Raw genomic sequence first — 14,018 nt, forward strand, 5'->3', positions numbered from 1 at the left:
CTGCATCTATAGGCACATGCCACCATGCTAATTTTCATATTTTTTGTAGAGATGGGTTCTCACCATGTTGCCCAGGCTGGTCTTGATCTCCTGGACTCAGGCAATCCTCCCACCTCGGCTTCCCAAAGTGCTGGGATTACAGGCATGTGCCACTGCACCCAGCCACAACAAAAGTATTAGGGTCCATAATATATTGTAAAATTGAAAAAGAGGCAACTCCCTTAATGGAAGGGAGGGTTCAGTGAGTGGGAGTTCAGCCTGCTTGAGTATCATCCACTTTCTCAGCTCAGATAGTTCCCTGCCCCTAGGCAGAATCAATCACTGCCTTCTCTCTGCTCCCATAGCATACAGGACATGTCTTCATTACAGCACGTGTCACCTGGGTTGTACTCTAATTGTGTGTTTGTAATGTCCTCAAGGAGCTTAGTCACTTGTAGTTTTTCAGTACATGCTTGTTGATTGAATGATGAGTGCTTTTGCACCAAGCTTTTGCAAATCTTGGGAGAGCTTACTACCTTCTGGTAAGGCTGTGCTCATCCTGGATGGTTCTGCCTATGGTTTGGGGGTTCTTCCCTCTGAGGCCCCTGCTGGAATGAAGTCTTGGTTTTATTTTATTTTTTGCCTTTTTTTTTTTTTTTTTTGAGACGAAGTCTTGCTCTCATTGCCCAGGCTGGAGTGCAGTGGCGTGATCTCGGCTCACTGCAACCTCTTCCTCCCAGGTTCAAGCAGTTCTCCTGCCTCAGCCTCCCGAGTAGCTGGGATTACAGATGTGCGCCACCACGCTGGGCTAATTTTTGTGTTTTTAGTAGAGATGGGGTTTCACCATGTTGGCCAGGCTGGTTTTGAACTCCTGACCTGATGATCTACCTGCCTTGGCCTCCCAAAGTGCTGAGATTACAGGCATGAGCCATGGCACCTGGCCTATTTTTTGCTTTTTTAATGCTTGGCTTCGGATTATATCATTGTGTGGAGATAGCATGCTTGGATTCAAGTGTACTATTTGTAAATTGTAAGGAAACAATTATATATGTTTATTGTTTATAATTTAAAGAATACGATTTTCTCATTGATGGAGAGAAAAGACAAAGTAGAAAAAAGATTGTGAGTTTTTTTCTTCTTTTCATCTCTCTTACTTTCCCACCTCTGCCTCTCCTTGCAGAAATTCTTGAATTTGCCCGGGAGATTGGTATTGATCCCATCAAGGAACCAGAACTGATGTGGCTGGCGCGAGAGGGCATCGTGGCCCCACTGCCTGGAGAGTGGAAACCATGGTAAGTCAGCAGGGGGTGCGGCCACTGACTTGGCCTAGCAGAGGCAGAGGGAAGCTAATACTGGAGATCGGTTTGAACTGGCCAGCTTTTCCAAGCCTATCCTGTACAGTCAGGGACAGTACTGTGCCACCCCTCTGCTATGCTGCCTGCTATTTCAGGCTTCAGTGTAGGCTGACTGAATGGTCCCTGGTCCCTAGGATGGGGTTCAATGCTTATATCCAAGGCCACAGGAGCTACTGCCCTGGGTCTGGTTCTCTAGCACAAGCATCTGTTTAGGATGTGCTGAGGGGTTGTTGTTACTCCTTGCAGACTGATATTGTAAGTGACAACTTTACCTCCTTAGCATGTCTAAGTTGGATGCTGGTCTTGCCGGGTACGGTGGCCCACGCCTGTAATCCCAGTGCTTTGGGAGGCCGAGGTGGGTGGATTGCTTGAGGTCAGGAATTCGAGACCAGCCTGGCCAAGATGGTGAAACCGCGTCTCTACTAAAAATACAAAAAATTAGCTGGGTGTGGTAGTGCACACCTGCAGTCCTAGCTACTTAGGAGGCTGAGGCAGGAGAATAACTTGAACCTGGGAGGCGGAGGTTGCAGTGAGCCGAGATTGCGGCACAGCACTCCAGCATGGGCGACAGAGCGAGACTCCATCTCAAAAAAAAAAACCAAAGTAAATAAATAAAACTACTACTTAAAAAGATAAAATAAAATAAAATGGATGTTGATGTTAAAGAGGTTTGCAGTGAGGCCATGCAGACCAGCAAAGGGTTTCTGTGTCCCTTGGGAACACTTGGCTCTGCCATATCTGAATTGATGTAACCTATTCATGAATAGGTTCACATTCATGGATTCATTGATATTTTCAATTTTGGCTAGAGCTCTTTGGGTTGGAAGGAGCAGTGATTCACTCAGTGATTCACTCAGTGGTTGTCTCAGGGAAACAGAGGTTTATGGAGAGGAAAGACAGAGTGGCCAAGGTTGGGGAGCTAGAAGGAGCCATGTCACTGCCTCTGTCTTCCTCCTCCTCCTGAGGACTGCAGTGCTCCCTGCTCGTGGTGACACTGCTCTCCGTGTTCTCCATGTCTACTCTGTCCTCCTGTCTTGCATTGCTCTTCCTAATCACATGCATAGAGCTCTCTCCAGCTTGTCTCCCTAAAGTGAGTGCCATGAATTTACTTCCTACCTTAGATTGGTATTTCCCTATGCTTATCCCAAACTGGTCCTCAGGTATCTTAGGGGTCCCCTCTTCTGCTGGTTTTGTGCAATTTTGTAGACAAGGCGTAATCATCCTGTTCTTGTTCATACCATTCACTGTGTTGGCCATAGCTCAAAGTGATTACAGTTGTCGCCTTACTGTCAGCTGAAGAATCACAGTCCTTCTAGCTTTTCCTCATGTGGCAGGCTTTTTGTTTCTTGATCTTTTTTTTTTTGAGATGGAGTTTTGCTCTTGTTGCCCAGACTGGAGTGCAATGGCACGATCTCGGCTCACTGCAACCTCCACCTCCCGGAGGTGGAGCGATTCTCCTGCCTCAGCCTCCCAAGTAGCTGGGATTACAGGCATGCACCACCACACCTGGCTAATTTTGTATTTTTAGTAGAGACGGGGTTTCGCCATGTTGGCCAGGCTGGCCTCAAACTCCTGACCTCAGGTTGTCCACCTGCCTCGGCCTCCCAAAGTTCTGGCATTACAGGCGTGAGAGCCCGGCCTGTTCTCTTGATCTTTTTAGCCGCCTTTCCTTTAACCTTCTCCCACCTCTATTGAAGTAAATTTGTCAGGACTTCACACAATGTTTGAGGTGCTGAGGGCTTCTGGTCATGTTTGTAGGATGAATTTATAGGAGTGGCTTCTGTTTCCAGTACCTAGCTTGATGGATGGAAGGAAACTGTCATTGGTTATGGGCCAGCTGCATACCAGCTTTTATGCCAGCTGCCTTTATATACCTGCTAGTGGTGGCTAACACCCTTTTTTATCCTGTAAGGAGAGTGTGAATTATTTTTCACTTTTTTTTTTTTGAGATGGAGTCTTGCTCTGTCGCCCAGGCTGGAGTGCAATGGCGCAATCTTGGCTCACTGCAACCTCGGCTCACTGCAGCCTCTGCCTCAGCCTCCTGAGTAGCTGGGATTACGTGTGTGTGCCACCACGCCGGGCTAATTTTTTTATTTTTAGTAGGGACGGGGTTTCGCCATGTTGATCAGGCTGGTCTTGAACTCCTGATCTCATGATCTGCCCGCCTTGTCCTCCCAAAGTGCTGGGATTACAGGCGTGAGCCACCACGCCCGGCCTATTTTTCACTTTTTAAAATAAGTTGGCCAGGCATGGTGGCTCACACCTGTAATCCCAGCACTTTGGGAGGCCGAGTTTGGAGGATTGCTTGAGCTCAGGAGTTTGAGATCAGTCTGGGCAATGTGGCGAAACTCTGTCTCTGTAGAAAATTCAAAAATTAGCTGGGGGTGATGACATGCACCTTTAGTCCCAGCTACTTCCGAAGTTGAGTTAGGAGGATCGCTTTAGCCTGGGAGGTTGAGGCTGCAGTGAGCCGAGACTGCATCACTGCTCTTCAGCCTGGGGGACAGAGAGAACCTGTCTCAAAAACAAATAAAATGAGTCATTAAAATGTAGGTATATATATATTTTACCCTTCTTCTTCTTTACCCACCTTTAACCTTCTTCTTTTCCTAAGGGTAATTACTATTAATTGGTAAATTCTCTCTAGACTCTTTTAATATACATGTATGCACCCCCTCCCCAACAATGGTTTGGTTTTAAACATAAGCACTTTATTATATACACTGTTCTTCTTTGTCTGTTTGTGTAGGCCTACTCATTCTTGTATCAGCTGCATACTTTCCCGTGTAGAGATGTAGCACAATTTTCAAAAATCTTGATTTATTTGACTAGTCTTATATTGAAGGACATTTAGATATTTTCCTAATTGGCCATGAAGTGAGGGCTGTTTCTGGATCCTCTGCTCTCTTCCAGTGAGCTCTTTGTCTGTCTTCACACCAGTACCATTCTGTCTTGATTACTGTAGTTTTATAATAAATCTTGAAATCATTTAAAGGTAAATCCTCCAAATTTGTTCTCCATTTTCAAAGTCATATTCTAGGTCTTTTGTATTTCCATATGAATTTTAGAATAGCTTGTCAGTTTCCAAGGCTGGGCACGGTGGCTCATGCCTGGAATCCCAGCACTTTGGGAGGTCGAGGTGGGCGGATCACTTGAGGTTGGGAGTTCGAGACCAGCCTGACCAATGTGGAGAAACCCTGTCTCTACTAAAAATGCAAAATTAGCCAGGCGTGGTGGCACATGCCTGTAATCCCAGCTACTCGGGAGGCTGAGGCAGGAGAATTGCTTGAACACGGGAGGTGGAGGTTGCAGTGAGCCGAGATCGTGCCATTGCACTCCAGCCTGGGCAGCAAGAGCGAAACTCCATCTCAAAAAAAAAAAAAAGAATAGCTTGTCAGTTTCCTATTAGGATTTTTATTGTGCTTGAATTGACTCTGTAAATCAATTTGGGGAAAATTGACATCTTAAACAATACTTTCAACCCATGAACATGGTCTGTTTTCATTTGCAGTATTTAGGTTTTTTTAAATGTCTCTAGGACATATTTACCCTGTAGAAAAATGTAATCTGCAAATAAGGACAATTTTTTATTCAATTTTCTGTACTGAAGTTGGTTTGTTGTTGTTGTTGTTGTTGTTGTTGTTTTTGAGATAGAGTCTTGCTCTGTCGCCCAGGCTGGAGTACAGTGGTATGATCATGACTCACGGCACCCTCTACCTCCCGGGTTCAAGCGATCCTCCCACCTCAGCTTCCCGAGTAGCTGGGACTACAGGTGTATGTCACCATGCCTGGCTAATTTTTGTATTTTTTTTGTAGAGATGGGGTTATGCCATGTTGCTCAGGGTGGTCTTGAACTCCTAAGCTCAAGCAATTTGCCTGCCTTGATCTCCTAGAGTGTTGGGGTTACAGGCATGAGCCACAGCGCCCAGCCTAGAAATATTATCAATTAAAAAATTGTCAATTAAAAAAAATCGTCAATCCAAGGGCAAAAAATAACAACGGATCATTTTAAATTGCATTTCCCAAGTTGTTTGTAGAGTTGAATTGGCCATCTGTTGATCTTTTGTGATTTACCTGTTTATATCTCTTGCCTTTTTGTCTAGTAGACTGCTTATCTTTTATTTTTGTTAAGGTGGCAGAACTCTTTGATTATTCTGGGTATTCTGGGTAATAGTAGTGGTATCTTACCACTATTTCCACTATTTTATCCCAGTCACATGTCTTTTAATTTGGTTTATACTTTCTTTTGTCATACTGAAGTCAATAAATTTGTATTTTTCTTAATTGTGGTAAAATATATATAACATGAAATTTACCATTTTAAGCATTTTTGAGTGGACATTTCAGCAGCATTAAGTACATTCACAATGTTGCATGGCTATCACTACCATCCATCTCCAGAATGTTTTCATCCCCAAACTGAAACTCTATAGCCATTAAATATTAATTCCCCATTTTCCCCTCTCCTTAATCTCTGGCAGTCACCATTCAGCTTTCTGGCTCAATGAATTTGCCTATTCTAGGTACTTCATATAAGTGGAATTATGCAATATTTGTCCTTTTGTGTCTGACTTCTTTCACTTAGCATAACATCCTCAAGGTGCATCTATGTTGTAGCATGCGTGAGAATTCTTTCTTAAGGCTGAATAATATTCCATTGCATGTATATACAACATTCTATTTATCAATTTTTTTTTTTTGAGACAGAGTCTCGCTCTGTCACCCAGGCTGGAGTGCAGTGGTGCGATCTTGGCTCACTGCAACCTCTGCTTCCTGGGTTCAAGTGATTTTCCTGCCTGTACCTCCCGAGTAGCTGGGATTACAGGCACGTGCCACCATGCCCGGGTAATTTTTGTATTTTTAGTAGAGACGAGGTTTCACCATGTTGGCCAGGCTGGTCTCGAACTCCCGACCTCTGCCTCCCAAAGTATTGGGATTACAGGTGTGAACCACTGTGCCCAGCCCTGTTTATCAATTTATCTATCAATGGACATTTGGTCTTCTTTCTGTCTTTTGGCTATTGTGAATAATGCTGCTGTGATTATTGGTATACAAATAGCTGTTTGAATCCCTGCTTTCAATTCATTTGGGTATATGCCCAGAAATGGAATTGCTGGGTCACATGGTAATTCTATTTTAAATTAAATTAAATTAATTTTTTTCTTAGAGATAGGGTATTGCTCTGTTACCCAGGCTGTGCAGTGGTGTAACCATAGCTCACTGCAGCCTCGAACAGCTGGGCTCAAGGGATCCTCCTGCCTCAGCTTCCTAAGTGGCTGGGACTACAGGTGTGCACCATGGTGCCCAGCTATTTTAAAATTACTTAATCCATTGTGAAATCTATTTTATATTTAAGTTAAATTTTATCTTATATTAAATTTGATTTAATTTTTTTGAGGAACCCCCATGCTATTTACCAAAGTGGCAGCACCATTTTACATTCCTACCAGCAGTGTACAAGGGTTCTTCTGTCTACCAGGCTCAAGGTCAATGACACAATCTCGGCTCACTGCAACCTTCACCTCCTGGGTTCAAGTGATTCTCCTGCCTTAGCCTCCTGAGTAGCTGGGATTACAGGCACACGCCACCATGCCTGGCTAATTTTTGTATTTTTAGTAGAGACGGAGTTTCACCATGTTGGTCAGGCTGGTCTCAAACTCCTGACCTCGTGATCTGCCTGCCTTGGCCTCGCAAAGTGCTGGGATTACAGGCATGAGCCACCATGCCCGGCCAATTTTTGTATTTTTTAGTAGAGATGGGATTTCACCATGTTGATCAGGCTGGTCTTGAACTCCTGACGTCAGGTGATCCACCTGCCTTGGCCTCCCAAAGTGCTGGGATTATAGGTGTGAGCCACCGCACCCAGCCTTTTTTTTTTTTGAAACAGGGTCTTGCCCTGTCACCCAGGCTGGAGTGCAGTGGTGTGATCATAGCCCACTGTAGCCTTGAACTCCTGGGCTCAAACAATCCTCCCACCTCAAGTCTCCTGAGTAACTGGGACTACAGACGTGTGTCACTGTGCCTGGCTAATTTTTTTTATTTCTTGTAGAAACAGAGTCTCACTGTGTTGCCCAGGCTTATTTTTTGGATTTTTGATAATAGCCATGCTTATGTTGTGAAGTAGCATTTCATAATAGTTTTGATTTGCATTTTCCCAGTGTTTAGTGATGTGGGACATCTTTTCATGTGCTTATGGGTCATTTGCATATCTTCTATCACTGTCCTTTTTTACCCCGATATTTTTTTATTTCTGCTCATTTTCTCATTTATCTATTTTTCATTTTCTCTTTTGTTTGAATTGAGATTCAGCTTGTCAGATTTCATAAGGAGCTTGATTGAAATTGTATTGGATTTATATATTAATTTTGGGATTATTGGCATCTTTACAGACTTGAGTCTTTCTATTCTGGAATACTGAATGCCTCTCCAGTGGGTTTTTTTCTTTTTCTTTTTTTTTCTGACTTTTCAGTAAAACTCTATAAAGATTTTGCACATTTTAGGTTTATGTGTGAATATAAAATATTTTGCATTACTCTTTTCCTGTTAGCTGTCCTAATAGATTGTTGTTAATGGTGGATGAGATGAGTGGTTTATTTTGGACTTGTCCATGTTGAAAAACAGATTCTTGAAATATACCTCCTGCATTATTTTCTTCTACCATCATCCACACTAGCTTGGATTATTACTTCTTTTTTTTGTTTGTTTTTTTGAGATGGAGTTTCGCTCTTATTGCCCAGGCTGGAGTGCAATGGCACAATCTTGGCTCACTGCAACCTCCGACTCCCAGGTTCAAGCGATTCTCCTGCCTCAGCCTCCTGAGTAGCTGGGATTACAGGCATGCACCACCACCCCGGCTAATTTTGTATTTTTAGTAGAGACAGGGTTTCTCCATGTTGGTCAGGCTGGCCTTGAACTCCCGACCTCGGCCTCCCAAAGTGCTGGGATTACAGGTGTGAGCCACTGCTCCCGGCAGGATTATTACTTCTTATGAGTTTAGAGTCTTCTGTAAAACCAGAGCTCTCACAATGCATTATTCTTCCTTAGACTGTTTATTAAAATATTAAGATTTATCCTAGCACTTACGTTCAACATACCATAGTTTTTATACTTCTCCATCTAAATAAAACCAAGTTTGTTCCTACACTAGTCCAGCCTGCATTCTCAAGAACTCCAGTGATTATACATCAACATCTAGAGATTAGGTATCCCAATCCTTTCTTCCTATATCTAAGCTAACTCCTTCTTAGCCAAATGGTACCCTTTGATTTTGTGTTAATCCTTTCCTTCCCTCCACTCTTAACCCCTCTCATTCCATCTTCTCCCTCCCTTTTCCACCCCACTCTCTTCCTCCTCTTTCACCTCCTCTCCCTTTTTCTTTTTTTCCCCTCTTTTTTTTTTCTTCTTTTGTATCTGAGCAGGGACTAACTTCTGAACTCTGCCCATCCCCAGCCAGGACATCACAGGTGACATTTACTATTTCAACTTCGCCAACGGGCAGTCTATGTGGGACCATCCATGTGACGAACACTATCGGAGCTTGGTGATCCAAGAGCGGGCAAAGCTGTCAACTTCTGGGGCCATTAAGAAGAAGAAAAAAAAAAAGGAAAAGAAAGACAAGAAGGACAGAGACCCCCCCAAAAGTTCGCTGGTGAGTCAGTGGATGCCTCCTCCCAGAGAGGCCAGGGCTGAAATCTGGAGGGATGTTGGGAACCTCTAGGTGTCTGCAGCTGGGAGGTTGAAGACAACAGTCAGAATATGGTAAATTCTTGATAGTATATCATCTAAACTTTGCCTGTCTTCTGGTTGATTTTTCTTTCAGCTTCTGGTATTCTGGAAGTTGTTGCCATGTCTACACATTTCCTTTCTCCCCACTTGGGAAGTGCATGTTACCTAATAGGATTGATGAGAGAGAGTGCTCTTCTGAGAATGGTTTTTTGCAGTAGTAGTAGCAGTAATGGCATCTGCTGCTCTGGAGAGTGGGGACTGAAAGCAGTTGGCAGAGGCCAGTGAGCTGAGTGAAGTGTCCTTTCTCTTTATTCAGAGTCAGGCCTCCCTAGTGTGGGTTCCTTTTTTGTCTTAAAGTGGTGTGAATTCCTAGATGTCAGATGTAGCCATAATTTAGTTGTCAAAACACCAGTGCGTTCAAGATTTGAAAGAAAAGCCTTGGGCTTTATCTACTCATCTAGATTGTTGCCAGTGTCTTCAGTGAGTGGTGGGTAACTGAAGTTTAACTGCAATGTGATTTCCTTGTTGTTGTTTTTTTTGAGACAGAGTCTCACTCTGTCACCCAGGCTGGAGTACAGTGGCGTGATCTCAGCTCACTGCAACCACTGCCTTTCAGGCTCAAGCAATTCTCCTGCCTCAGCCTCCTGAGTAGTTGGGATTACAGGCATCCGCCACCACGCCTGGCTAATTTTTGTATTTTTAGTAGAGTTGGGGTTTCACCATGTTGGCCAGGCTGGTCTCAAACTCCTGACCTCAAGTGATCCACCCGCCTCAGCCTCCCAAAGTGCTGGGATTACTGGTATGAGCTACCACGCCCAGCCTGATTTCCTTGGTTATAAGTAGCTTTTGTATTTCAGTTCAAAGTGTTCATATTAATTATTGTTTTATTTGTCCCTTTAGTACAACTGAGTCTAGGAGGTGGAGTTATTGCCCACATGATTTAGGTGGAGCAACTAAGACCTGGAGCCATACCAAAGTGAGGCCCAGGCTCTCCCAGAACGCTGTGGTGGTCCCTTTCCCCAGGCCTGGGGCAGGTGGGGCATGCTGAAGAGAGGGAGGGACATAGGAACTCAGCTCAGCCAGTGGGGAGCACTGGGAACATCGTTTCAACCCTCTTCAGTTGTCCAGTTGTTTTGCTCTTTTGTTTATAGTTTTTGTTTCCCTCCAGAGCCTTGTGCTTCCTCTTGTCCAAGCTCCACAGACACTTCTTTTTTCCCTCCCCTCCCTGACATGTTACTCACGGTTCTGAGAAACATGGTAACAAGCCCATTCCTCCAGATGGAGAAAAGAGGGCAGATAATTTCCAGCTAGGCTGGATTTTCCAATGTCATGTGTTTGAATGGCAAAAGGTGGCCACAGGGCTTTTCATGGACCCAGGATTATTTGAAGTGGTAGTCAGGCATCTGGGCAGGCTGTGGCTTGACGAAAGGCAGGAGACGGAATGAAGTGAGGGTTCTGGGGTGGAGAGCTGGGTAAAGGACCGAGATGTAGATGTGTGATTGGATTCTTAGAGCCCTCTGTTAAAAAGAGTTCCCTCCGTGGTTTCAGGAAATGAAGAAAATGGGACAGCCCTGGGCTGTCAGTCTGGTTCTTAGGGCTCAGGACAGGTGCCTCAAATGTGAGTTTGTCCAGGGGACAGCTCTGAGCCAGGCAGGCAGCCTGGATGCAAGTGGTTTGGACTGTCTGGAGGTGTGCACTCACAGTCAGGTGGGGTTCAGTGTGAATGTTTGTAGAGGAGTGGTTGATTTTTTAGAAGTTTTTCTAGCTCAGAGGGTCTGTGACCATGTGGCGGTCTCTCAAGCAATACCAACTGGTTCCTTTGGTAGACAATGCTAGACTGAGTTTTCAAGTCTCGGGTCATTTGTTATGCTTCTCTTCGCGCCCTGTTAAAAAATTTCCGGGTGTCCTTGGTAAGGTTGGTGGACTTTTCTTCTTCTCCTTCTTCTTCTTCTTCTTCTTTTTTTTTTTTGAGACAGCATCTTGCTTTGTTGCCCAGGCTGGAGTGCAGTGGCACGATCTTGGATCACTGCAACCTCCGCCCCCTGGGTTCAAGCAATTCTCGTCCCTCAGCCTTCCGAGGAGCAGGGACTACAGGCGCCCACCACCGTGCCCGGCTAATTTTTTGTATTTTTAGTAGACATGGGGTTTCACCATGATGGCCAGGCTGGTCTCGAACTCCTGACCTCAAGTGATCCGCCCGCCGCAGCCTCCTAAAGTGCTGGGATTACAGGTGTGAGCCACCACACACGGCTCAAGGTTGGTGCATTTTATAAAACTAATCAATCACAGAATCTGAGAGCTGGATAGTATCTTAGGGATAATCTGGTTGGCGAGTTTCAGACTGTAGTTTGTGGTAGAGCCCTGTTTTCAAGTCAGTTCCTCTATAGAGGTCCAGCTTATAAAAAAAGAAATGGAGCTTCTTTGGTTGAACTTGGCAGTGTGGGTCTTTGTGACGCCTCTTCTCTGTCACATGCACAATATAGTACCCCGAGGTACTGAACTTCCCAGGTTCCATGGAGCAAGGTTTGCAAACCATTGATCTAGTCGAACCTCCTCTTTGTAGATAAGGAAACTGGAGCCTAGAAAACAACATATTTTCAGCCCAAGGGAGTTTTTATCTTTTCTTCCCTCTTCAGTTTGTGTTTTACTTCATTTTTTAGTTTTTTAATTTTTTAAATTATTATTTTTTTTTGCTATTGATTTTATTTATTTATTTATTTATTTATTTATTATTTATTATACTTTAAGTTTTAGGGTTTAAATAGAGGGTGGGTTTTTGCTGAGGGCTTGCCCAGGGCTGAGGTAGCAAGTGTAAATCAGAAGTGCTTTGTCTTCGTTTTCTCTGCATGTTTATATACCCATCTAGGAAACGCAGCCTGAGGAGGGACTTCTGCCTCCTTCATCCTTTCTCTGCAGCTTGTCTCCTCCGTCAGCACCTGGGCTTGCTGATCTGGACCTAGATCAAGAGATGCAGGCTATAAGTGAGGGATCCTATAACAAAGGAAAGAGCCCAGGCATGCTGGGTGACACTCCCTGGCGTTTCATGGGTGCCCTTCCCAGAAAGCTGCAGCCACTCTCCAAAGGCCAACCTTCCCAAATCCACCAGGTCTTTGCTGACATGGAGAAAATCTTAGGCAGGGCCCCAGCCCAATGCAGGAGAGAATTAGGTGATCAGCAGGGTCTGGAGAAACTCCAGAAGGCGACAGAGAAAATCTACCTGGGGTTTTCAGATCCTGAAACAGAAGAGCTGGAAATGAGAAGCAGGCAGCAGAAACTGGGCACTCCAGCCCCTCAGAACACTGGGCTTCTCCAAAATATGCAGGATGTGGTAGAAAGCAGGAACCAGGCCTCTGTCCACTCAAAGCTTTCTGAAGCCATCAAAGGCCTGCCACTGAAAGGGGAGCAGCACAGCCACAGCTTAGCCAAACTGAGCCCCACTGGCCCTGGAGGGGACAAGGGCCAAAGCCCCATTCCCATGTCATCCCCTGAGGAGGAGCCCTCCCTGTCCTCTTGTTCTTCCGGCCACATGTTGCCTGCCAGGAAGAGCAAGTTGTTGTTAGATAGCAGCCCTACTGAAGACCTGAGCTGGCAGGGAGTTCCTGGGGAAGGTGGGAGCATAGGCAGCGGGAGGAGGAGGAGAGAACCTCCTGGACTGTGGATGGAACAGGTCTCCAAGCTTGTCAATAAGGATATCCCAGGAAGCTGCAAGGAAACAGAGCCCAGTGACCCTGAGGCTCTAGGGGCCTCAGCTGAAGATCTACCTCAGGGTCTCTTGCTAATACCACCTGAAACCCTGGCATCAGAACCAGCTCAGAATCCCCTTTTAGGGAGGGCTCCCGAGGAGCCTCCTGCCAGTGAGAAGAGACAGGCCCTAGGGTCTGCAGAGCTCCCTTATAAAGATCAGAAGCCTAGCTTGTCTGGGCCTGACTTGGAGAGCAGCAGCAGCAGCAGCAGCAACAGCAACCTGGCCTCACACCTGGGCTCTCCTGTCCTGGATGAGGTGAACAACTTCCCTTGGAACCTGCAGAGCTCACGGGGATCTGAGGAGGGTATGGCTCAGTCAGACTCGGGTCTCAGAGATCAACACTTCAGCCCCTTCTTAGATCCTCACATGTCCCACATGCAGAGCCCTGACGAGGAGCAGTCAGAAAGTGAAGACTACTCTGAGGACCAGAGGTTCTACCAGCACATCCTGCAGATGGTCAAGATCTCCAGGTGGCCGGAGGGCCTGGGGCTGCCTGAGAGCATGCAGGACATGCCGTGCAGACACAGCGCCAGCACAGTCTGTTGCATGGCAGCTGAGTCTTCTAGGATGTCTAGTGAGGGTGAGCACGAGGCCATCAGAGTCATGGAGAGGGACTCGAGGTTTCTGTCATGGGAGCCAGAGCTGCTGGAACATCCTCAGGAGGTGGCCCTCGCCCCTGCTTGGCAAGAGGCCTCTCAGCAAGCCCATTTCCAGCCAAGCAGCAGCACCCTCAGGCAGGGGCTAGTCCAGCAGAGCTCCAGCAGAGGGCTTACTACAGAGCCAGGCAAGATGCAGCATCTCAACCAGGTAGGCTTCTTAGTGAGCATGGCCTAAAGGCCTAAACTTGGCAGGGAGGGAGCAGGTGGAGTTGATGTCTTACCACAGCCATCAGGCCTGCATTCCTGTTACCCACCCTACCGTGGTAACTATTGGCCCTTTAACTACCCAAATGGCCATTTTATGGAATGACACATACTTGAAGTTTCTTCTACTCCATCACCTGCAAGATAGGGCTGAGGGTATCTCTGATTTCCCTTCCCTGGCTGTAATTGTAATTCATGGGTGGTTCATGTGCTTTGAACATGATCAGTTTTGCGGGTGAGCAGAACGTCGCTAATCCTGGCATTCGTGCAGGATATAAACACCTTCCTGGGATTTGGGAAGTTTTTCCTATCAGCTGATTCTAGAGAGAGGTCCTTCCTATTTGGAAATAG

At 45.7% G+C, this 14,018-nt stretch overlaps 1 protein-coding gene across 73 annotated transcripts in view; it reads left to right on the forward strand.

Moving 5' to 3' along the window:
* Window positions 1–14,018, forward strand: part of CEP164 (centrosomal protein 164) — a 91,489-nt gene that overhangs the window by 21,229 nt on the left and 56,242 nt on the right. For 48 of the 73 annotated variants that reach the window (NM_001271933.2, NM_001440972.1, XM_005271457.2 and 45 more), the window contains 2 exons: window positions 1,160–1,271; window positions 8,784–8,982. In NM_001271933.2, the coding sequence (NP_001258862.1) occupies window positions 1,160–1,271; window positions 8,784–8,982 (311 nt within the window). Of the gene's footprint in view, window positions 1–1,159; window positions 1,272–8,783; window positions 8,983–11,925; window positions 13,612–14,018 lie in introns of all 73 variants that reach the window. The other 25 variants (XM_006718788.2, XM_047426570.1, XM_047426578.1 and 22 more) reach the window with 1 other exon arrangement.

Source organism: Homo sapiens, chromosome 11 (genome assembly GCF_000001405.40).
Source record: "Homo sapiens chromosome 11, GRCh38.p14 Primary Assembly".
In the NCBI taxonomy this organism is placed as follows: Eukaryota; Metazoa; Chordata; class Mammalia; order Primates; family Hominidae; genus Homo; species Homo sapiens.